This window comes from Homo sapiens, chromosome 17 (genome assembly GCF_000001405.40).
Source record: "Homo sapiens chromosome 17, GRCh38.p14 Primary Assembly".
NCBI lineage: Eukaryota > Metazoa > Chordata > Mammalia > Primates > Hominidae > Homo > Homo sapiens.
The window spans coordinates 32,506,292-32,529,307 of NC_000017.11; the positions used below are offsets into that span (position 1 = coordinate 32,506,292).

Sequence of the window (23,016 nt, forward strand, 5' to 3'; positions counted from 1 at the left end):
TAAAACACTGTTGAACTAAAATCCTGGATAACAGCAGCATGAAAGGTGGGGTGGTGGTCCCAGGAAAGCATTCAAAGGTCCATGTCTCATTTGGGAGGAGGGTAGGGAGACTCATGAACTTGAGGCTCCCTTCAGGCAAGCACAGTGCAAAAAAATTATAATAATGGGAAACAGATACAGTAGACTGTGATGTACAACTCTCAGAGCAGTAGAAGGGAGGGTATAAAACAAATCTGATCCATCAGATAGAAGGCAGGAAAGGGGAACAAAAGTAGCAAAGAAGAAACACGGGAACAAGAAGGCACAAACTAATAATGGAATAAATACATTTAAATATATAAATGAGCACAGTAAACCTAGATGTGCAAACCTCTGGCTAAAAGGGATTTCTCAGATTTAATTTAAAAATGCAGTTATATGCTACTTGTAACAGATGCCATTTAAATCATGATGACAGTTTAGGTAGGGAATATGATACATAAATCAAATACTAATCAAAAGAAAGCTGGGGAAAAGCATTGCTGGAGAAAAAGCTCATTAGAGACCGGGTGCAGTGGCTCATGCCTGTAATCCCAGCACTTTGGGAGGGTGAGGTGGGAGGGTCACTTGATCCCAGGAGTTTGAGGCTGTAATGGGCTATGATTGTGCCATTGCACTCCAGGCCAAGCAACAGAGTGAGACCCTGTCTCAGGAAAATTAAAAAAAAGTTCATTAGATAATTGTTTTGTTTATTTATTAAGGAACAGTTTACCAAGAAGATGCTCTCATACATATGATTTACAAAGATAAAATAACAAGTCCACAATCATAGTAAAAGTAAAAATAGGCTGGGTGTGGTAGCTCATTCCTATAATCCCAGCAATTTGGGAGGCTGAGGCAGATATGGACTGCTTGAGCCCAGAAGTTCAAGACCCACTTGGGTAGCAGAATGAGACCCTGTCTTTACAAAAAATAAAAAAAAAACTAGCCAGGTGTGGTGGCAGACGCCTATAGTTCCAGCTACTCGGGAGGCTGAGGTGGGAAGATTGTTTGAGCCTGGGAGGTTGAGGCTGCAGTGAGCTGTGATTGTGCCACTGCACTCCAATCTGGGTGACAGAGCGAGACCCTATCTCAAAAAAACTCCCCCAAAAACAAAAAACTTGGGTGTATGTGTGTGTATTCATTACATTCAACAATTAGAGAACACACATTCTTCTAAAGTACACACAGAACACATACTAGACCACAGAAGAAAGTTCAATAACAACCTGTGAATTAGCATCACATAGAAACCATCTTCTGTGTCTACAGTGCAGTAAAATTAGAAATCAAATAAAAGGAGAATAAAATAACAATATAACAATAGTACTATGGACTGAATTGTGTCCCCTCCAATTCCTTATATGGAAGACCTAGCCTTCAACACCACAGTATTGTGAGATCTGGGCTTTACAGAGGTCATTAAGGTTAAATGAGGTCATAGGAGCAGGGCCTTGATCTGACAGAAAGAAGAGAAACCAGGGTGCTTGCTTTCTCTCTCCCCACCACGTGAGGACTCAGAAAGAAGGTGGCAGTCTGCAACCCTTGAAGAGAGCCCTCACCAGAACCCAACCATGCTGGACTTTTTTTTTTTTTTTTTTTTTTGAGACGGAGTCTCGCTCTGTCGCCCAGGCTAGAGGGCAATGGCGCGATCTTGGCTCACTGCATCCTCTGCCTCCTGGGTTCAAGTGATTCTCCTGCCTCAGCCTCCTGAGTAGCTGGGATTACAGGCATGTGCCACCATGCCCAGGCAATTTTTGTATTTTTAGTACAGACGGGGTGTCATCATGTTGGCCAGGCTGGTCTTGAACTCCTGACCTCATAATCTGCCCGCCTTGGCCTCCCAAAGTGCTGGGATTCCAGGTGTGAGCCACTGCACCCAGCACCATGCTGGACTTTTATCTGGGACTTCTAGTCTCCAGAACTGTGAGAAAATACATTTCTGTTGTTCAAGCCACCCAGTCTATGGTATCTTTTTTTTTTGAGACAGAGTCTTGCTCTGTCACCCAGGCTGGAGTACAGTGGTGCCATCTCTGCTTACTGCAACCTCCGCTTCCCTGGTTCAAGCAATTCTCCTGCCTCAGACTGCCGAGTAGCTGGAATTAACAGGCGCACACCACCACGCCCAGCTAATTTTTGTATTTTTACTAGAGACGGAATTTTGGTATGTTGGCCAGGCTGCTCTTGAACTCATGACCTCCAGTGGTCCACCTGCCTTGGCCTCCCAAAGTACCAGGATTACAGGTGTGAGCCACCTCCCCTGGCCAGTCTATGGTATCTTGTTATGGCAGCCTGAGCAGACTAAGACAAATAGTCAAACAGTATACAGTGCTTACTAAGTGCCTTACAGATATCAATTCACGGACTTACTACAGCACGAGGTGAATTTCCTTTTCAGAAGAGGAAATGAGAAGGCCCAAAGAGCCTAAGGACCTGCCTGCCCGAAGTGATAGAGTAGAGGCAGGATTTGAACCCAGGCAATCCAGGCCATAGTCCAAGTCTTAACCTCTATGCATCCTGCCCCTAAAAAGCACATCATTAGCCGTGGTCCCTGTTTGCTGTGTGCTTCTGAGCAGAGTGATGAGCTGAGCACTTTCATGTCCCTATCAACAGCTCCTCGTGCAGTGTCTGATACAAAATAGGAGTTCCATAAATGTCTATAGAAAGAATGAATTTTTATAAAATGACATGATTAAGAAAGCAGCTGGGGCTAATGTCAACACAAGACATGTCTTCAACTGGGAGACATGAGGCTGGCCTCACCCATCTTCACAGCAGGGTTGTTAAGAAGTGAGGCAAGTGAGGCGGAGCCATCGGTGGGCTGGGGTTGAACACAAAGGGTCAGGTGGGGTACATGTCCCGGCCTGGTATCCTGCTCCGTGTAAGGGGCTGTTTATGTGTCAAGTGTGATGAAAACATATGAAGAGGCACTAGGGACACTCACTGTTCAAGGGGTGCCTTTTGGGAACTGAAGAACCCTCTTGCAAAGTGAGTCATTACCTTGCTTTGTAAACCCAAACATCCCTGTATTAGCTGCTGCCTCCCCACTGCTAATGAAGTTTTCAGTGAAATAAAAACATTTGGTAGGATGGAAAACATTTGGACTGATGGGCTTTGGAAGCACATATGCAAGGTTAGAGAAGCTCCGGGAATTGTATCGATAAACATGTTGCCATTTTTATGTCCTGAGGTTTAATGGAGACGAGCAGACACTGCACTGGCTCCATGCAGATTTCTCAGTAATAGCTTCAGAAATGTGGGCAGATATTTCTTTTTTTCTTTCTTTTTTTTTTTGAGACAGAGTCTTGCTCTGTCACCAGGCTGGAGTGCAGTGGTGCGATCGATTCCGGCTCACTGCAACCTCCGCCTCCCAGGTTCAGGCAATTCCCCTGCCTCAGCCTCCTGAGTAGCTGGGACTATAGGCGTGCGCCACCACACCCAGCTAATTTTTGTATTTTTAGTAGAGACGGGGTTTCACCATGTTGGCCAGGATGGTCTCGATCTCCTGACCTCATGATCTGCCCGCCTCGGCCTCCCAAAGTATGTGGGCAGATATTTCTAGTGAAATATATGGGCCTGGAGCTCCTCAGCAGCATGCCTGCGGAGTTGTAAAGGGGTCTTAGATTGGGAGGAGAAGGTTGAAATTCACTGTCATCCATTTATTTATTAAGAATTTACTAGGCACTGTATTAAACATTTTACATACTTAATTTCATTTAATCCTTATCAAAGCTGTCATTATGGGGCACTGTCATTCTGTTCACTTTATAGATGAGGGTGCAGAAGCGTAGAAAGCTCAAGCAACTTCTTGCAGCTGGAAGGTGAGGCTAGGACCTGGCCCAGGGCAACTGTCTCCTCAACAGCATTTGCGCCTCCATTCCATTTAGTTTCCACCCTAAAATGCTGTTCTAGCTCTTGCGTGGAGCATAGCCTCTGCAGCATGGAATTCTTTAATACCAGGTGCTTCTGAGTCAGAGGAAAAGGCACTTTGAACCTCCTGTAACGATGCTGAGGTTTGGACATTCTGACCCAGCCCCTGACCCCCTCCCTGCACAGGCACTTTCACCACTTGTAAGTTTTTCTTGCTGGGCATAGCGCCTTTCACTCCTTGGCCTTTGTCTGGCCAGAAGACATTGATGTTTCCAGGCATAGATGATTCCAGGCTGCTAAAGAAAGAGGCACTCTCCTGGTGCTTGGAGAATTTGTATGCATTTTTTACTATTCTCCAGCACACATCTTTGTCTTGACTTTCCAGCTGCAGTCCCTGAGGAGTACTCCATGGAGACTCCTGGTTTCCGTTTTTGTCAACCAAAAGCTTCGTATGCTTTGTGCCTCAGCAGGCTTCCCCTGGCAAGGTGGGCCAGGCAGGGACTCGGTGCACTGGAGGTGGCCTGATGGCTCCCGGGAGAGGCCTGGCGACCCCTGCGTCGGTTCTCTCTTTTGCTTCCCCTCCACCAACATCAGACTTGGAGGTGTTGAGGAAGCTCCATTTTGCTTTGTCTATTTGGAATCTGTACTCTTTAAAGGCTGCATTCCTCTGACCCTGCCAAAATGCCCAAATTAATACTTTATGCCAGGCATAATGAAACCTTTCAAAACCAGAGTTAAAGAACAAAACTATACCCACAGCTCCCTCAAGTATGAGGGAAGAAAAAAAAAAAAAAAGAAACAGAATACCACCAAACCAAACCAAAGCCCCATCACAAAACAAATGAGACAGCAGTTGTGAGCAGAGGGCTGGGGCCACCTCAGTGGGACGCCTGGGCCAGCATCTGACCCTCAAGAGGGAAGTGGGCTCTGGAGCCTTGAGACCCTCCCACATCAATCAGAGGACATCTGTCCTTTCCTCCCCTTCTCTTCACGTCTCTTCCTTCTTCTACCTCCCCTACTCTCCTTAAACTTCTCTCGCTCACTCTGTTTTTTTTTTTGGAAACAGGGTCTTGCTGCTCTGTTGCTCAGGCTGGAGTGTTGTGGCATGATCATAGTTCACTGCAGCCTCAAACGCCCGAGCTCAAGCAATCCTTCCATTTCAGCCACCTGAGATGCTGGGACTACAGGTGTGTGCTACCATGCCTGGCTAATTTTTTAAATTTCCTGTAGAGATGGGGTCTCACTAGGTTGCCCAGCCTGGTCTTGCCCAGGCTGGTTTGGCCTCCCAAAGTGCTGAGATTACAGGCCAGAGCAACCATATCCAGCTCCCCCCGCGAACTTCTCATCTCTTGATGCTCTTGCTCTAATGTCTGTAGGGCTTTATTTTACATGTTTGAAAGAGGTTTTCGCCTTTGCTGTATTGAACTTTTTTTTTTTTTTGGACATCTTTGCTATTTCCTGCTTATATTTCTGTTCTCCTCTCTTGACACTTCTATTAACAGCATTTCCAAAGTTAGCACCATCTGTGAACACCAATGTTTATTTTCTATTCACATCATTAATGAAGGTGCTAAATAAGACTGGACTGAACATGCACCAGCACCCACACCTTCCTCTGAACAGACGATTTTTAGTGGTTTGTCGGGAACGCCATTATATATTTGCTTATTCAGCTCACCATTATCAAGAAGCATTTAAATTTATATTTGTGTGTAGCTGTGGGTCACTGGATAGAGGAGTTAACAGGATCCCAGTCCCTGCCACCTGAGAATCGAACATTGAAAGCACTTAGCACCTACACACAAACACACTGGGGACATATATATTAAAAAGAGAGCTGGCTGGGTGTGGCAGCTCATGTCTGTAATCCCAGCACTTTGGGAGGCCGAGGTGGGCGGATCACCTGAGGTCAGGTGTTCGAGACCAGACGGACCAACATGGTGAAACCCCATCTCTACTAAAAATACAAAATTAGCCAGGTGTGGTGGTGCATGCCTGTAATCCCAGCTACTTGGGAGGCTGAGGCAGGCGAATCACTTGAACCCAGGAGGCAGAGGTTGCAGTGAGCAGAGATGGCGCCACTGCCTTCCAGCCTGGGCGACAAGAGTGAAACTCTTATCTCATAAAAAAAAAAAAAAGAGCCATCATGAAACATCTGCATCTTCTGGGATGCAAGATAAATAATAAAAAGGCCTCAGTTCTCAAAAAAGCTCAGAGCCTGGGGAAGGAGGCTTCCTGAGCTACTGTATCAGGTGCAACAGAGTCAGCATCACAGAAGGTCTAGAGGGCACTAAGCAGGCCCAGGGTGGAGGGAGGTGCCCAGGACTTCTGCCTGCTCCCTGCAAGGGTGTGGCCTCTTAGGCTGTGTCCTGGCTTTGCGTGGCTTTGCTATGCACATGCATCACTGGAATAAACTAGGCTCTCAGCACTGGGTCCACAGCATGTCAGGATTTCTCATCCTCGTGCTACTCCCCACAGATAGGGATGAAGACAGAGCCACTGAACAGGGTGCCAAGGGAGACAGCCTGGTGTACCAGGGCTGAAGGTGACTCACCTGCTCAGCCAGTGTCTCTCCTTCCTTTAATAACGTCCCTCAAGCTCTACCTGTCCTTTCTCCCTGAAGCCTAACTGGGCTTCTCCAGCCACAGTGGTCTCCAAGACCCTACAGACAAGAAGGCGATGAGCTGCCCTTTGGAGGATGAGGAGGACTTGACAATGAGTTCAAGATGAGTGGGGGCTACATTTCAGGCACCTTGAAGCCTGGCCACACCCAGCCAAGGATTCTTGAAGACAGAAAATAGATAATACTTTGTTTTCTTCAGTGTGCTTACCACTAACTGAAATTGACTTGTTTGATACTTAGTTGGTTAACTGTCCGTCTCCTATAGCTTCTATCCCCTGCCCAAAGGTAAGCTCCATGGGAAGGGGGACCTTGTCTGTATCCCCCGTACCTAAAAGAGGGTGTGGTATACAGTAGGTGCTTAATAAAGAGCCAATACATGAAATTGATAGAGATAAACTAGGAGGTATGGCAGATAGACTGTTGACTGATGGGGGCATTTTGAGGTAGGATGACCAATTAGGAAACTGTAAGTCAAGGCAGAAAGAGCTGTGATCATGAGAGGGCAAGAGTGGGGTCCCGCTGGAGAGACGCTTAGGAGTGAGAACGTGGCGACTGGCTGAATGTGGGTGATAAGAGGGAGACTCTACCATGTCTTCAGGTTTTGAGCTCATGTGATGGAGAAGGAGGTGGAAAGAGAGAATGAGTTTGTTTTTTGGACAGTGTTGAGTTTGACTTCCTCTGGAAAAGGATGCAAAGGGTTTCACTATATACCATGTAGACCCAGGAGTACACAGGGCTCAGTGCTCTCTCTCCCTTAAAGGAATAGATGTAATCCAGCAAGGTAGATCATATGTCAAAACAGTTTATCATGTATCAAAATTGTTTCACAAAACCTATTTTTGTAAGAAAATTCTATTATAAAATCAGCACTTACAATATTACAGTGATGCTGTGCTATATTAAGTGACAGCAAATAAAGTCTAGAATTTGAAAATTTAGAGTTGAAATGGTAAGCCTGCCCGCACAGCTGTGTCTCAGCAACCTGGCTGTCATTCTCACCCACCCCAAACGCCTTAAGATTTCTTTCTTTCTTTTTTTTTTTTTTGTAGACAGGATCTTGCTCTGTTGCCCAGGCTGGAGTATAGGGTGTGAGCATGGCTCACTGCAGCCTTCTGGGACTACAGGCATACACCACCATGCTAATTAAAAAAATTTTTTTGGCCGGGCATGGTGGCTCATGTCTGTAATCCCAGCACTTTGGGAGGTTGAGGCGGGTAGATCATGAGGTCAGGAGTTCAAGACCAGCCTGGCCAAGATAGTGAAACTCCGTCTCTACTAAAAATACAAAAATTGGCCAGGCATAGTGGCATGTGCCTGTAATCCTAGTTACTCGGGAGGCTGAGGCAGGGAGCTGCTTAAATCCACAGGTAGAGATTGTAGTCAGCTGAGATTGTGCCACTGCACTCCAGCCTGGGCGACAGAGCAAGACTTTGTCTCAAAAAAAAAAAAAAAAAAAAAAAAAAAAAAAATCGTAGAGACAGGGTTTTCCTATGTTGCCCTGGCTGGTCTTGAACTCCTGGGCTCAAGCCATCCTTCCACACTGGCTTCCCGAAGTGCTGGGATTACAGGTGTAAGCCACCGCGGATGCCCAAGATTTCTATCTTTTTATTCAATGTTAGTCTTTTATTTAAAAAATATTTTTCACACTATTATTTCCAGCAATCTTTATCTGAAAATGTCCAAACTTTAAAAAACACTATTCTTAGAAGCAATAGTGCAAATTATAAAGGGGAAAGGAGGGAAAGTCTAATCCTTGCTTTGCAAATAGCAGGTCACACTCTCCAAAATCGTGGTGACCTATAAAAATTTGGAAACTAGTCAATGTCCAACAACAATGGGTAAATTATAGTTAGTTTGAATCACGATGAGGGGCTGTTAGTACATCACATTGCTTGCTGAGCTTGAAAAAAGGGATTTTTCTCAGATACTGATCGTTCTTTTAGAAGTTTAGTTATAACACATCCGGGAGTCAGACATTCCAGCTGGCAGCAGCAGCAGGAAAGAGATGCGGACAGGGGCCTTCCAGGTTCCCTGTATTTCTAGGAATGTTGCTTAATCAAAAGAGGAGACAATGGAGGCATAGTGGGAAGAATACAAGGTTTGGAATCAATAGTTTAGGGTTCAAATCTAGCTGTCTGGCTCTGGGCAGTTACTTAATCCTTTTAAACTCAGTTTCCTTAACTGGGATAATGAACAGGGATAATGTTCTTTTTTCTAGAGAGTTAAAGGAGAAAATATATGCACAGTGGCTAGTGCCATGCCTGGCATCGAGTAAGTGCCCCATTAATGTTTGTTAATGGAGTAAGCGCTTGAATGGAGGAGGCTGTTAGAGTGGAATGCTGGTTAGACGAATGAAACCAGGGCTGAAAGGACCTTTGCCCAGCCTCTCAAGGCCTCTGTCCCTGACCACGGATATTCCCCTAAGAAGCAACTATGCCACCTTCCAGGGCAAAAAGGCTTGTCGATTCCAGAAGGACTTTTTAACTTGTTATTCAGTATTTTTAAATTCCCTCCTCCTGTCTTTTCTTTGACATAGAGTCTCGCCCAGTCCCCCAGCCATGGCCTACTGCAGTCTTCACCTCCTGGTGAAGTCATCTTCCTGCCTTAGCCTCCTATATAGCTGGGACCACAAGTATGTGCCTCCATGCCCGGCTAATTTTTTGATTTTTTGTAGAGACAGGGTCTCGCTTTGTTGCCCAGGCTTGTCTTAAACTCCTAGGCTCAAGCAATCCTCTTGCCTCAGCCTCCCAAAGTGTTGGTATTACAGGTGTGAGCCACTGTGCCCAGCCTTAAATCCCATTTTTAAGGACAAAGGATAATGCTTTCTTCTTGGGGCTGACGACATAGTTCTTTTTGGATATTTTCCATCACACTGTCACTGAACCTTGCTCCCATCCAGGCAACTATAATCCACAGTGAAGAATATTTGATTAAGTAGCAGGTGGTGGGGGATTTTTGTTCTGAGGGGAATTCAAAGAAGTTAAAACAGAGGCAGCTATCTCATAAACCAAGCCCAGAACACGGAGATGAAAAGAAACAAATTGCCCACTTTCTACCACCTGTTTGAGAACAGAAAGATTTACACTCACTTATGTCAGCTAAAAAAATGTACCCTTGTCTCATTGCGGTAAAAGAGCCTCCACTGCTCAGATGCTTCTGATGGAAAGTCTACCCCCTGCTCCGATACACACTTTCATGCTGGTAATGACAGAGGCAAAGCAGGCCTTTCTATCAATATGTTCTGCACACTTCCTAGCAGCTTTGCTTTTTCTATTCTGCATTTGCTATTTTAAGCGAGTACATAATGCATCAATTTTCAGACTCTTACTCAATGCCATTGCTACAGAACTGAGAACTCAGTAATCTTGTCAGGCAGAGCAGAACAATATTCCAACAGATGAAACATTCCATGCAGCCTTATTTCCCTTTTCCTGGGATGGGGCATCTATTTCTGGCCTATAATGAGAGATGAACCAGTGGCCATGGTCCAGTGCCTCTTGCCCTGGAATCCCACATCACAGAAACCACTCACCATGCTGCTGCTGGTAGACACATGAAAGGCCCTGTGGGGGTCTCAAGTTCATTTGACTGCTCTCTTATTTTTTATTTTAAGTTCCCAGAAATGGGTTGTTTTGATCCAGGCTGGAGCTTGCTGGCTGGGAAAGTGTGGGTTCTCTCAGGCCACATTTCCCCTTTTCCTGCCTGCCATGAAGAGTCCCCATTTTCTCTGGAATCACCAATTGGATTTGAGAGCCCCAGAGGAACCTTTGTCTCCCTGCCCCCAGTCTCGTAGAAGATTTAAATGTGAAGTGTCTCCACATGGCTTCTTGCCAAATTTGGCTTGCCCTTGAGCGCAGACACACTTCCAATAGAAGGCCAATTGCATCTGATACCTCAGTGGGCAGTTTAGGCAAATTTCCCTGCTGTGTGTGTTTACAGCTTTAGTGGCTTCTAATACAGGCCTTATTTACTGCCTGCATTGTTACCTGGGAGAGAGAGAGCAGAATGGATCTGCTGCTACTTGCTACACCATTTGGCTTGTAAGTGGATTAAATAGACACATTTTCCCAAGATTTACTCCACATACCTGGCTGGTGTAAATGGGCTGGGCCACTTCCACCATCCTCTCCAGTTCCTGCTCCTTTTATCTTATATCCATTAACAATGGCACAACAAATTAGCGTGGGTGCATAGTGATTCCATTGGAAGGTGAACAATTCAATAAAAACGACACCACTGCTTTCTAAAGAACTAATTTATAGCATCGAAGGATTCAGCTATCCCAATGGGGACCTTGAATTACTGGCCCAACTTTATTGGCATGAAAACAATCAAACCAAATACATTCTTCCTCTGGAGCTGGAAGTCAGACACCCTGGGTAATATTTAGGTCACTGCTGCCCAGGCAAATCTGAAAAATGGTTTGTGCCCTGATTAGGCAGTTACACATTTGTTTTAAATGACTGTCACAGGATGGGATCCGGAGGCATTTTAAGGCAAAGAGAAGTCATATGAGCAGTACTGAAACAATCTGAAGTGGGCTGAAGCAAACAGCCTCTTTGTCTAGCCTCAAGTGTATCAGTGTCAGCTTTACAGCTGAAATGGAATCTTTGGGTTTGGTGAGTGTGTCCCCACTTCCTCTTGTCTGTCTCTGGGAGCCCATAGAGCAAAGATTCTCAACCTTGATTGCACGTTAAGCTTATGAAAAATACTGGCCCTAGCAGTGGTCAGGCTCCAACCCCAGAGACTCTGCTTCAATTGGTCTGCCTGTGGACCCCTGAATGTCGCGTTGTTAAAGCTCCCTGGGTGATTTTCCTGTGCACCACCGCTTTAAACCGTTTAAGCATCACCCTCCCTGGGAACGACCGGAAGAAGAGCTGGCCCCGCTTTGCTTCAGATAAATGCTCCAATTAGCTGCCTGGGAACTGGCCTAGCACATGATAGGATTCCCCTTACATACAATTTAATTGATTTATCACACTTTTTATTATGACAATTTTTAAACATATACTAGAAAGAAGAATTACAAGAATGATTTGGAACAACATTCTAGAAGTGCCTGTGAAGGAGCGGCTGAGCCCCCAAGGGTCACAGAGCTCAGAGGAGGATGTGGAGATGGGCACCCCTCCTGCCACCCCGGCTCTCCCTCTGGACAGCACCTGGCCCGCCACTCTGCCATCACCCTCTGGACAGCACCTGGCCCGCCACTCTGCCATCACCCTCTGGACAGCACCTGGCCCGCCACTCTGCCATCACCCTCTGGACAGCACCTGGCCTGCCACTCTGCCATCACCCTCTGGACAGCACCTGGCCTGCCACTCTGTCATCACCCTCTGGACAGCACCTGGTCCACCACTCCGCCATCACCCTCTTTCTTGTCCCCTTCTCATTTCTTTCGTCAACAAACATTGGCTAAAGCCTGTGTGTCAGCCCTTGTGGAACAGTGATGCATAAGCCAGGTCTTGCTCCTGCCCTCATGGAGCTCAGAGCCTGGTGTGGAAGACTCTTGTAAACATGAGTTGCACACTCATTACTGTTTATTCATAATTCTGCGAAGAGCTCTCGCGGTAAAAGTACAGACTGCAATGGAATCGTGACGGGAAACCTAATCTATCTTATTTACTCTCGGGGGAGTCAGTGAACACTTTCTTGAAGAAGTGATATTAAAAACATTTGATTTTAAAGAGTGAATAAGAAATGCACATGGTATGATATTCACAGGTCCCAAAGCATTTAGAGGGAAAGCGTGTTTCCTTCCACCCCTATCACCTGGCCTCGGTTTCCCTCCTCATGAGCAACCACAGTCCCACTTAGGGTGTATCAGTCAACACTAAGACTGGCACACACTAAGAGGGTATCGGCTAGAATATGAGCCAATCTGATGTTTGACGCCACTGCCACTAGAGCTGCTATGTTGCTCCAGGACAAAGAGGGTTCTGGGTTAGGGCCATTACTGTGGCCAAATCCCCAGCACTCTTCATCACCAGGTGACCGTGAATGCTAACAGCAGCACATTTTGCTCACAGAATCCCCTCCCCCCGAATAACGACTTCAACTCTCAGAGGTCCTGGAAATTCTGCTTTCGGCCTCGCAATGCCATCGAGCTGCAGAACTCGGCGGCCGACAGGTTCTCTGCGGCCCGGGTAGGGGATGTGCGCCCCGCCTCGCTGCAGGGAAGGCCGAGCAAGCCAGGCCAAGAGGGCACTGGACGTCGAGTCTCACCTCCTTTTCCTCCCGTCTCCTCCCTCTCACCAAGTGACACCGCTCCCTCTCAAACGGAAGGAAGGGGAAGAGGTCCGTGGGGAATCTCTTGGGTCCTTAAAGGGGGCGGCTGTCATGTCTCCTAGCTCTGCTATGCGCGGTACAGGCCGGCTAGAGGCCAGCGAGGCCGCCCAGGTGAGGGAAGCAAGTTCCTGTGCGGCGCTTCAGCCCGGCACCGCTTTTGGAAACACTGGTTTCATGCCAGGCACTGGGCAGGCCGGGTGGGGGTGGCGGCGAGGCCTGTCCTCGCGGCCCCGGGCACCTGCAGCGGGAGCGGAGCGCAGGAAGGGCGGCTGCCGGGGAATCCGGGGCGACAAAGGAAAGGCGGGAGGGGGAGGACGCAGGGAAGCAGGGAGGAGGGGAGGCGGAGGAGACAAAGGGAATCTGCACCCGCCGGGTGGGCTCTGGCGGCGGCGGCGGGGGCGGAGGCTGCGGCTTCGAGCGCGACGCGGTCGCCAAGGCAACGCCGGCCCCAGCGCCCGCGGCTGAAACGAAGCCGCTGCCCGAGCCCGAGCGCCAGCGCACACGCCCTCCTTGCAGCCCCCCGCAGCCCCGGCCGGCCGCGCTTCTCCGCCTCGCCGCCGACAGCCCCTCCCAGCCCGCCTGCCCGCCCTCCTTCCGGCTGTTTTTGTTTGTCTGTCTTTCCCGAGAAGGTGATGATTTGGGGCTTAGATCATCTGCTGGCATATTGATGAGCTCACTGCGTTGCTGAAAAGGAAGGGGATGGGGACTTGGGTCAGCTAAGGGTACAGGATCAATATAAGACAAAAACATTAAGAATATAAGACAAAAACATTGAACAATGGAGATGTGGGTAAACAGCAGGCTTTTTTTTTTTAAAAAAAAAAACCAGGGCGATGTCTTAGCCAGAAATAGTTAAGAAGGGAGGAGAAAGGGCTACCCCCGCAGCCATGTGAAATAGGATTAGTGGAAACCCTGAAGACTCAGGCCCACAGGAGCCATACTGCAGCAGTTTGCTTTACGTGACACTTTTCCTGCTCAGATTCCTGCTCCAGAAAAAGAAAATCAATCTGTGCACCTTTTTCTTTTTCTTATTCAAAGCCCAAACTCATGGTATCATCTCTTAAACTGTATTTCAGCACGAACAGGGAAAGGCTCATGAGACTGTACTCTGTGAGGGTGGAAACCGGTCTGAACCATCCCTGTAACTGCTGAGCCCCGGGACCTGCCGCACACTAGCTGAGGGTGATGGACCCTGCCGCTGTGCACAAAGTCCACACAGAGGACTTCCCGAGGTCAGCCTCCGGAAAGCAATAGCGACTGGGCCCAGAAACATCCTGTTAGCACGAATGCCTTGCTATGAAGTCACACAAAGAGCCAAGGGGTGTGGCTGGGGAGGTTTTGAAAACTCAGCGAATAGCAAAACGGGGGCAGGAACATAGGTCTTTTTATCCATCAGGCAAAGTCCCACCTTTATGACATATCTGTCCTGGGTCTGGAGCACCATGCTTTGTGAGATTATAATAGAGAGGCATGTCGATGAATAATAGGCGTGTGACAGGTTGGTGTGGGCTGGCAGGGAGCTGCCTCCCGACTGCCCTGCTCGCGCTGCTGTGGGGCTCCCCCGATACAGGTCATGGGTCTGACTGGAGTGCCATTTCCTAACCACTCTTCTGTTCATCTAGACATGATGCTACGTCCATCCTAAGAGTCATATGTGTTCTTTGGTTATCCTAGAAGCCACTGTGGTATCCCAGGGCCTTGACACAGCCACTGACAGAAAAATGATGAATAAAAATAATACGCGTGAACTGCTGTTATTCCTGCATTCCAGAATTCAAACTGCACCATATTCAAAGGTGACTGACAAAGTTCATCTTCTTTGCAGGCGGTATTGGGAATGGCAGGGGGTGGAAATCAATCAGGGAATGGTAGGACTCAGCTGCTGAGAACATAGGGCGGGGAATCGCGCCCCTTTGTTCAGCAAAATCTAGAGATAACACACAATGTTTCCATTGGCTTACCCAAAAGATCAGACCTCAGTTTGGAAGGTTAGAAGTCTAGAACTGGGCCTTGAGAAAAGATCCGACCTTGAGTTCAGCTTTAAGCAAGAACACATCTAAAATCTTCTGGCCAGCAGGCTGTCTACTGATTTCCTAAAGACCCCTCCCTCAGGGCCAGATGGCCTGCCTCCCTCCGCTGCCTACTCCAGTATTCTTCCATCCTGAACCATGACAACCAACCTACTCCTTAGAAACACACCTAAAATAGGGAAGAGAAGGCTCAAAAAACGCATATTGTCTCTCATAGCACTCATGAGTGCTATGATAGTGAAGAGTAAAGCAGTCTTTCTGTAGAGGCAGACTTCATGTGATGAAGGCCTGTAAATTCCCGCATAATCAGGAACAAACTGAAAAGAACAGTGAGGAGGTTAAGGAGGAATTTTCAGTTCCTCATACAAATTGCTCCTGTGTTTAGTAGCCATAGCGTCAAGGAATATTTAAATATAGATGCTAGTGAAATTCATGATCAATAATTTAAAATGTTTCGGGAAAACATTAATTTGCTGAGATGTGGGTGGTGAGTACTTCTTGGTCCATAGAACCCTAGCCAGCCAACCTGGATTAAATAAATAAATCTCAGGGCCAGGTGCGGTGGCGCACGCCCATAATCTCAGCACTTTGGGAGGCCAAGGCAGGCAGATCATGAAGTCAGGAGTTCAAGACCAGCCTGACTAACATGGTGAAAACTCTTCTCTACTAAAAATAAAAAAATTAGGCCAGGCGCGGTGGCTCACGCCTGTAATCCCCGCACTTTGGGAGGCCGAGGTGGGGGAATCATGAAGTCAGAAGTTCAAGACCAGCCTGGCCAAGATGGTGAAACCCTGTCTCTACCAAAAATACAAAAATTAGCCAGGTGCAGTGGCAGGCGCCTGTAATCCCAGCTACTCAGGAGGCTGAGGCAGGAGAATTGCTTGAACCCAGCGGGCAGAAGTTGCAGTGGGCTGAGATCATGCCATTGCACTCCAGCCTGGGCGACAGAGTGAGACTCTGTCTCAAAAAAAAAAAAAAAAAAAAAAAAAGCAAAACTCAGTTTCTCTGAAATATTCCAAATATTCAGGTCGAATAAAATTTACATATCCTCTAGGAGCAAATAATTAAAATTAATCAAGCAAAACATTAACTAAAAATGATAGAGGTATGAAATAAATTCTCTTCATGGATTATGACATAATTTGCTATCCCTGCTTCCATCTCACCACTAAAGGCCTGATGCTGTGGCCTAATGCTGAGTTGAAACCACAGAGTTCAGGGTTATAATGAAAGCCTTTTCACCAAAAATGGGTCCCCCATTGGTGGTCAGAATGAAAGAATTTTGTCCCAAACTACTCTAGTTTCTTGAAGGCCTTAAGTTCTAGCTGCTGACTTACAATGAGTTAAAGCATTATAGTGGCTGGAAGGGATGCATAGTGAACATATTAGGAAGACATGATGCACTGTTTCCTAAATAGACAGCAGAGTTCCCAGGGGATGAGGCACAGAGCACTGAGAGGTGATGCTAAGGTGGGGAGGGACTGGAGGAGGCTAGGATGGCCTGGCACAAAGCAGGAGGGTGAGCTAAGGGGCAGTATGAGGACCCTAATGACATGAAGAACACGGAAAAACGAGTGGGGTAGAGGAGTCACACAGCCAGCTTTTGCTCATTACCCACTGAGGAGGGCCAGTGCTGCCTGTGGACTCCATTAGGAGCATCATGTGGCTGTCAGGCTCCTCAGTCTTAGTGTCCCCCATGTCTTTTTTTTTTTTTTTTGAGATGGAGTCTCGCTCTGTCGCCCAGGCTGGAGTGCAGTGGTGCGATCTCGGCTCACTGCAAGCTCCGCCTCCTGGGTTCACGCCATTCTCCTGCCTCAGCCTCCCGAGTAGCTGGGACTACAGGTGCCTGCCACCATGCCCGGCTAGTTTTTTGTATTTTAGTAGAGACGGGGTTTCACCATGTTAGCCAGGATGGTCTCGATCTCCTGACCTTGTGATCTGCCCACCTTGGCCTCCCAAAGTGCTGGGATTACAGGCGTGAGCAACCACGCCTGGCCCCCCATGCCTCTTAGACAGCAGTGCAACTAACGCCACTGCCTTTGCCTGCCTACCACATGGGAGGAAAGAGGATCAGGTAGGACTCAGGGCTTGCCAGTGGACAGCAAGAGAAGGAAGGGAAAAGAGATGGGAAGGCAGGTGGGGGAGGGGAAAGAGAAGAAAGGTATTTAGCACAGGGGTGGGCTTTGGCTCTGACCCAACTTCCTTTTACAGACAAGAAACCAGGCCCAAAGAGGTTATGAATTGTCAAGAGCACTTAGGGGTGGAAGTGAAACTCTCACCTTGGGCTTCACATTTCCGATTCAGTGTTCATTCATCGAGTCCATGAGAGAAAAGGAAAGGGCAGAAGTGCGAAATGTCACGAATAGCGAAAGAGCATGATGCAAATGAGAAACAGAAAAGCTCTCCACAGGAGACTTAGAAGACTACAAAAATCATTCCATTCAGTCTCATGACAAAACAGTGCCCGAGGAGCTTTACAATCGAGTGCCAGTCCTAGCCTGGGCAACATGGAGAAACCCTATCTCTACAAAAGATTACCCAGGCATGGTGGTGTGCACTTATAGTCCCAGCTACTTAGGAGGCTGAGTCCCTGAGCCTGGGAAGTTGAGGCTGCAGTGAACGGTGATTGTACCACTGCACTCCAGCCTGGGCAACAGAAAAAGACCCTGTCTCAAAAAAAAAAAAAAAAAAAAAAGAGTGCCAACCCTGGAGTGAGAGTGGTCGGGGCAAATCCCATCTTCTCCCAACAACCAGTAAGCCGTGGGGCAAACTTCTTAACCTCTCCAAGCCTCAGTTTCCTCAGCCATGAAATGGGGATGACGATAGTATTATTTTCATACAGACTTTGTGAAGATCAAAAGATAATGATCCATGGCAAAGAGTTCTCTCAGCACAGTGCCTGGAGCACAGTGCCGTGCGTAATCAGCATGTGCTGCTGCTATTATGATTGCCACAGAGCTGCTACAACCAGGGTAAACTAGTTTTCTTACAAGAAAAATGGAATAAAAAAGTTGTTGGTGCTTTTCTATGTTTGGGAAAGCATATCTGTTTTCTCTGGGGCTGAATGAATATATGCATCGTTTTGAATTTCCCACAGTAAAAAAAGCATCATTTTGCTTTTGTCTTTGGTGGAGCATGCTTCCTTCCGACGTCAACTCACTCTTCCCTCTATTGGTGAGAAAGTCTCAGTCTCAGTCTTAGTTTCACAACTAAAACACTCTCTGCGCTAACAAGCTCAGGCGTAGGATGGAAAAAATGAACTTACATTTCATTACTTTTTCTTTTTTTTTCTTTGGACAGGGTCACGCTCTGTCACCCAGGCTGGAGTGCGGTGGCACCATCATAGCTCACTGCAGCCTCAAACTTCTGGGTTCAAGCAATCCTCCTGTGTCAGCCTCCAGAGTAGCTGGGACCACACAGGTGGGTGCCATCATGCCTGATTAATTCTTTTTTTTTTTTTTTTTTTGAGACAGTCTCGCTCTTTTGCTCAGGCTGGAGTGCAGTGGCATGATCTCGGCTCACTGCAACCTCCGCCTCTGGGTTCAAGCGATTCTCCTGCCTCAGCCTCCTGAGTAGCTGGGATTACAGGTGCCCACCACCATGCCTGGCTGATTTTTGTATTTTTAGTAGAGATGGGGTTTCACCATGTTGGTTAGGCTGGTCTTGAACTCCTGACCTTGTGATTCACCCACCTTGGCCTCCCAAAGTGCTGGGATTACAATCGTGAGCCACTGCGCCTGGCCTTGACTAATTCTTTTAATTTTTAGTAGAGATAAGGTCTCGCTATGTTGCCCAGGTTGGTCTTAAACTCCTGGGCTCAAGCAGTCCTCCTGCACTGGCCTCCCAAAGTGCTAGGATTATAGGCATGAGCCACCACACCTAGCCTACATCTCGTTACTTTTGTTTTCCTTAGGAAGTCAACTGTATTTGGATTATAGCTGAATTAGGAATTCTCAATCTGCAAGCATTCAGGGGCCAACATACTTTTCTTACCATCTGTCAAATGGGCACCGTTAGCTTCAATCATTCATAGGAGTGGGGAACTACAGGCTCCTGGTAGGATTTATTTGGCTGTCAGTTGATAGTCCTCTGACCACTGCTCCAACGGTTTCAAGACAAACCTCCCCTCTCTCCTTCCCCACGTGGATTTCTGTGGCTATCTCACTGAGAGACCTGATCCTGAAGAGTTTTACATTCCTGGCTATTTTAAGCCTCACTAACTGTTCAAATGAGGTCGCCACATGGCATGCAGCTGTGGGAAGCAGCTGCTGTGGTTTGATTTCTAGTCAGTATGTCTTGACATTTCTTATCAAGTGATTTCTAAAATTCCTTGGGTTTTTTTTTTTTCAGGTAATAACCAAGAACTTTTTTTTTTCTTGGGATATAATAAGGTGTGACATCAGAGTTGTGCATCTGATAACCTGCTCCTCGCTGGGGACAGTTCCAGAACCCTGCTAGACTTGATCTTAGCCAAAAGGCCGAGAAGCGATCAGAACCCTGCTAGAAAGGAACATTTATTTCAACTTTCAGGACCCAACTCTCTCTGCCCCAGAAATATCAGTTCTGGGGCCGAGAGACACTGCAGCGGCCCTCCCTGCAGTTTCTAATTGGAGCCCATCCTGGAGTCTCAGATGCCACAGAAGAAAGTAGAGAGAACTGGGCAGCTTGCTGGGCTCCCTGGCGCTACCTTCAGTGACAATAGCTAACATGGAGGAGAGGCAGGGTCACTCAGCCCGAGGAGAAACTGGACCTCCCAACTCCCCACCTACCTGCCCTTCTCGCTAGGTCATTCAGCTATTTGTCTCCTAGTTCACCCTCATACACCTGTTTGCCACGATGGTTTTGCCTTTAGGCTTTTGCACACGCTATTCCCCACCTGGAAGACTCTTGGTCTCTTTTCCAGATCAACTTCTATTTGTCATTTTTTCCTCAATATTGGCATCACTTTTAGGAGCCTTTCCGATCTTCCAAGAAAGGTTTAACTGCCCCTTTGACGTATATCCCCTATTAATGTACTTAACACATTGCATTGTAATCCCGTCTACTCATCTGGTTCCCCCACCAGATTGTAAACCCTGGGCAGGGTCTGGGTTCTGTTCACTGTTTTATCCCCACTTCTGGCTCAGCACATAATAGCTCCTCTGTAAATATCAGCTCTATATTGTTTCGAACTCAACAAGAACTCCCTCTCTTCCTTTCCCTCCAATATATTTCTTAGATTACATCAAATTATTTGCCCTTCAATAGCCTCTAAGTCTTCTATTTTAACGTATCAAATATCTATTCAAATAAAGTCCTTTGTCAGTTATGAGTTTGAAAAAATCTTCAAGTGTGCATATATGTATGAAAATGTGGCACTACAGACTCCTAGATGGTGTCTGTGCCTAAGATTAATACCTAAATACAAAGTGAACATCTTACCCGGATAACTGAAAGGAGCTAGAGACTCTTTATCTAGATCTTGGTACTTCCTCTTCATAAAGCCTTCTTTTTTTTTTTTTTGTGGGCTGGTAAGTATGGACCCCTATTTTCAAGGTATAGTTATTATTTTTTGAGACAGAATCTTGCTGTGTTGCCCAGGCTGGGGTGCAGGTGCACAATCATGGCTCACTGCAGCCCCGACCTCCTGAGCTCCAGCAGTTCTCCCGCTTCAGCTTCCCAAAGTGCTGGGACTAGAGGCGTGAGCTACCGTGCCCAGCCAAGGCATAGTTATTCTTGACAAGGAGGTAGAATAGGTTTCCAACCATGAAACATCTTCCATGGACCATCTGGAACTGTTTTTCATTTTCTTTCAAGAGAATCCTTCTTACAGTAGAGAGGAAGTTTACAGTTACATAAAATCTCCACTAACATTCCTCCTCCCCAGTCCCAACCTTCTGCCTAAGCAGATAGGAACTAACACCAAGAGCAGCAATTATCAGCCATCCCATACAGTGCTGCTTGGTTTCTCTACAAACACTTTTCGTAAGACCACAGTGGGGTCTTTCCCCGGCCCGCCATCACCAGTGAAGGGGGACAGCACATGCCTCTCGGAACTGCAAGGCAGGATTTGGCCTGGGATCCAACTTTCTGCTTTAAAAATGGCCACATGAACAAGGTCACCATCCAGAGAGGGGACTTCAGAAGAACAAGGAAGGCATGTGAAGCTGTGCCTGGCGCTGCCAAACCCACCCTGCATGCTGGCGAGAGGACTGGTTGATGGCAGCTAACCACAGTAAGGAGGAGTCCATGTGGCTGTCCAAGGAGTGTCCAGCCTGTTGAGGCACTGCCAGGCCCTGTGGACTGTAAGCCAAGGATGTGCTTTCTGTTCTCACTAACTTTAAATTCTAGAGATATCCTGACAGAGGGGCAGAAGCAAGACATTTCCTGCGCTTGTCAAAGCTACATAAAAGTAGCCAGGTTTGGTGGCTCACACCTATAATCCTAGCACTTTGGAAGGCTGAGATGGGAGGATCGCTTGAGCCCAGGAGTTTCAGACCGGCCTGGGCAACATAGTGAGACCCCGTCTATACTAAAAATAAGATAAAAAAAATAGCTGGGTATGGTGGTATGTGCCTGTAGTCCCAGCTACTCAGGAGGCTGAGGTGGGAGGACTGCTTAAGCCCAGGAGATCAAGTCTGTAGTGAGCTGTGACTGTGCTACTGCATTCCAGCCTGGGCAACAAAGAGAGACTCTATAAAAATAAAACAAAACAATAAAAGCTACATAAAAGCAAAACAACTTTTTTTTTTTTTTTTTTGAGGCAGAGTCTTGCTCTGTCGCCCAGGCTAGACTGCAGTGGCACGATCTTGGCTCATTGCAATCTCTGCCTCTCGGGTTCAAGCAATTCTCCTGCCTCAGCCTCCTGAGTAGCTGGAATTACAGGCGCCCGCCACCAGGCCTGGCTAATTTTTGTATTTTTCTTACAGACAGGGTTTCACCATGTTGGCCAGGCTGGTCTCGAACTCCTGACCTTGTGATCCACATACCTCAGCCTCCCAAAGTGCTGGGATTACAGGCGTGAGCCACTGCGCCCGGCTGACTTGATTCTTATGGTGGTAAAATTGGCCCATTTGGGTTCTACCCCACTTAAGGCTTGCCCTCTTCTGCCCCACTGGGCCAGTGGTTTTGGGGAAGAAGGTATCCAGTACCTTGATCAGAGGCGATGTCTAGCCTCCTCTGCCCTTTGGAGAGCTGGTAGCAAGGCACTGAGGAATTACTGCTTTGCAGGTGGGAGAGGGTGAGATGGGTAGGAAGTGCATGGCAGAGCTGGGAAGCTGGCTCCTCAGAACTGGGAAGTTGAAAGAAGCAGAGCCAGCTCTTGAGTAGAACTTAGGGGTGTGTATATGTGTGTGTGCGTATGTGTGTGTGTGTGTATGTGTGTCGGGGGAATTACTGGGAAGGGTAGTGTGTGATGCTGAATATGCCCTCCCACCCCCAAATATCCACATCCTAATCCCTGGAACCTGTGAATGTTACCGTACGTGGCAAAAAGGCCTGCAGATGGGATTATGTAAGGCTGCTGAGATGGGGAGATTATCCTGGATTATCCAGGTGGACCCTAGATACAATCACAAGTATTCTTTTAAAAGAGAGGCAGAGGGAGATCTGACACAGACAGGAGGAGGAGGAGGAGGCAGTGTGATCCTGGAGGCACAGATCAGGGTGAAGCAGTCACAAACCAAGGAGTGCCGGCAGCTCCCAGAGGCCGGAGGGGTGGAGGAGTGGATTCTCCCTGAGAGCCTCCAGAGGGAACAGGCCCTGCCCAACGCCCTCGTTCTGGCCCAGTGAAATGAATGTGGACTGCTGGCCTTAATAACTGTGAGAAAAAAACATGTCTGTGGTTTAAAGCCACCAAATCTGTGGTAATTTGTTACAGCGGCAATAGGAAACTGACATAGATCGGTAGATGGTGTCCTCGGATGAGACTTCTGGTTTACTTCCTGTAGGCATTAGATGGTGGGACTCCTAAGTGAGAAGAACAAGTGTTGCACATCATTACATGCAATGTGCAGGAGCAGTATCAAAATTCTGCATGTGCGCGTGCACACACACACACAGCCCAACCCACCCCTCACTTGGATCTGAATCTGTGTCTGTTGTTAACTAGCTTGTACTTCAACAGGGAGCTGTGAATTGAGCAGGAGGATCATGAGACAAGCTGCCCCAGGTAGTCTGGCAGGGTCTCAGAAGGCATCACAGAACATAGCA

General features: G+C 47.4%; 1 protein-coding gene and 2 long non-coding RNA genes across 4 annotated transcripts in view, besides 7 other annotated features; all 3 read right to left on the minus strand.

Annotated features, from left to right (window-relative positions):
• The window catches only part of MYO1D (myosin ID), a 384,603-nt gene that overhangs the window by 13,770 nt on the left and 347,817 nt on the right, over positions 1 to 23,016 (minus strand). The window lies entirely within an intron of this gene.
• Positions 3,663 to 17,161, minus strand: LOC105371734 (uncharacterized). Its single transcript, NR_188182.1, has 2 exons — positions 17,106 to 17,161; positions 3,663 to 4,561 (listed from the first exon to the last, which is right to left on the minus strand). It is a non-coding gene; the product is annotated as an uncharacterized LOC105371734 (long non-coding RNA).
• Positions 9,023 to 9,072: an enhancer, noted in NCBI's record as "active region_12032". NCBI's record gives its function as "activates an Ori minimal core promoter by ATAC-STARR-seq in GM12878 lymphoblastoid cells {active_cell/tissue: GM12878}" and the evidence as "EXISTENCE:reporter gene assay evidence [ECO:0000049][PMID:35858748]".
• Positions 9,953 to 10,122: an enhancer, noted in NCBI's record as "active region_12033". NCBI's record gives its function as "activates an Ori minimal core promoter by ATAC-STARR-seq in GM12878 lymphoblastoid cells {active_cell/tissue: GM12878}" and the evidence as "EXISTENCE:reporter gene assay evidence [ECO:0000049][PMID:35858748]".
• Positions 10,193 to 10,242: an enhancer, noted in NCBI's record as "active region_12034". NCBI's record gives its function as "activates an Ori minimal core promoter by ATAC-STARR-seq in GM12878 lymphoblastoid cells {active_cell/tissue: GM12878}" and the evidence as "EXISTENCE:reporter gene assay evidence [ECO:0000049][PMID:35858748]".
• Positions 11,070 to 11,119: a silencer, noted in NCBI's record as "silent region_8426". NCBI's record gives its function as "represses an Ori minimal core promoter by ATAC-STARR-seq in GM12878 lymphoblastoid cells {active_cell/tissue: GM12878}" and the evidence as "EXISTENCE:reporter gene assay evidence [ECO:0000049][PMID:35858748]".
• Positions 11,479 to 13,235, minus strand: LOC107985012 (uncharacterized). The gene is made up of 2 exons (XR_001752828.2): positions 11,708 to 13,235; positions 11,479 to 11,670 (listed from the first exon to the last, which is right to left on the minus strand). It is a non-coding gene; the product is annotated as an uncharacterized LOC107985012 (long non-coding RNA).
• Positions 12,989 to 13,418: a silencer, noted in NCBI's record as "silent region_8427". NCBI's record gives its function as "represses an Ori minimal core promoter by ATAC-STARR-seq in GM12878 lymphoblastoid cells {active_cell/tissue: GM12878}" and the evidence as "EXISTENCE:reporter gene assay evidence [ECO:0000049][PMID:35858748]".
• Positions 16,174 to 16,697: an enhancer, noted in NCBI's record as "H3K4me1 hESC enhancer chr17:30849483-30850006 (GRCh37/hg19 assembly coordinates)". NCBI's record gives its function as "activates a minimal SCP1, AML or CMV promoter by ChIP-STARR-seq in naive H9 embryonic stem cells {active_cell/tissue: H9 hESC(naive)}" and the evidence as "EXISTENCE:reporter gene assay evidence [ECO:0000049][PMID:30033119]".
• Positions 16,698 to 17,220: an enhancer, noted in NCBI's record as "H3K4me1 hESC enhancer chr17:30850007-30850529 (GRCh37/hg19 assembly coordinates)". NCBI's record gives its function as "activates a minimal SCP1, AML or CMV promoter by ChIP-STARR-seq in primed H9 embryonic stem cells {active_cell/tissue: H9 hESC(primed)}" and the evidence as "EXISTENCE:reporter gene assay evidence [ECO:0000049][PMID:30033119]".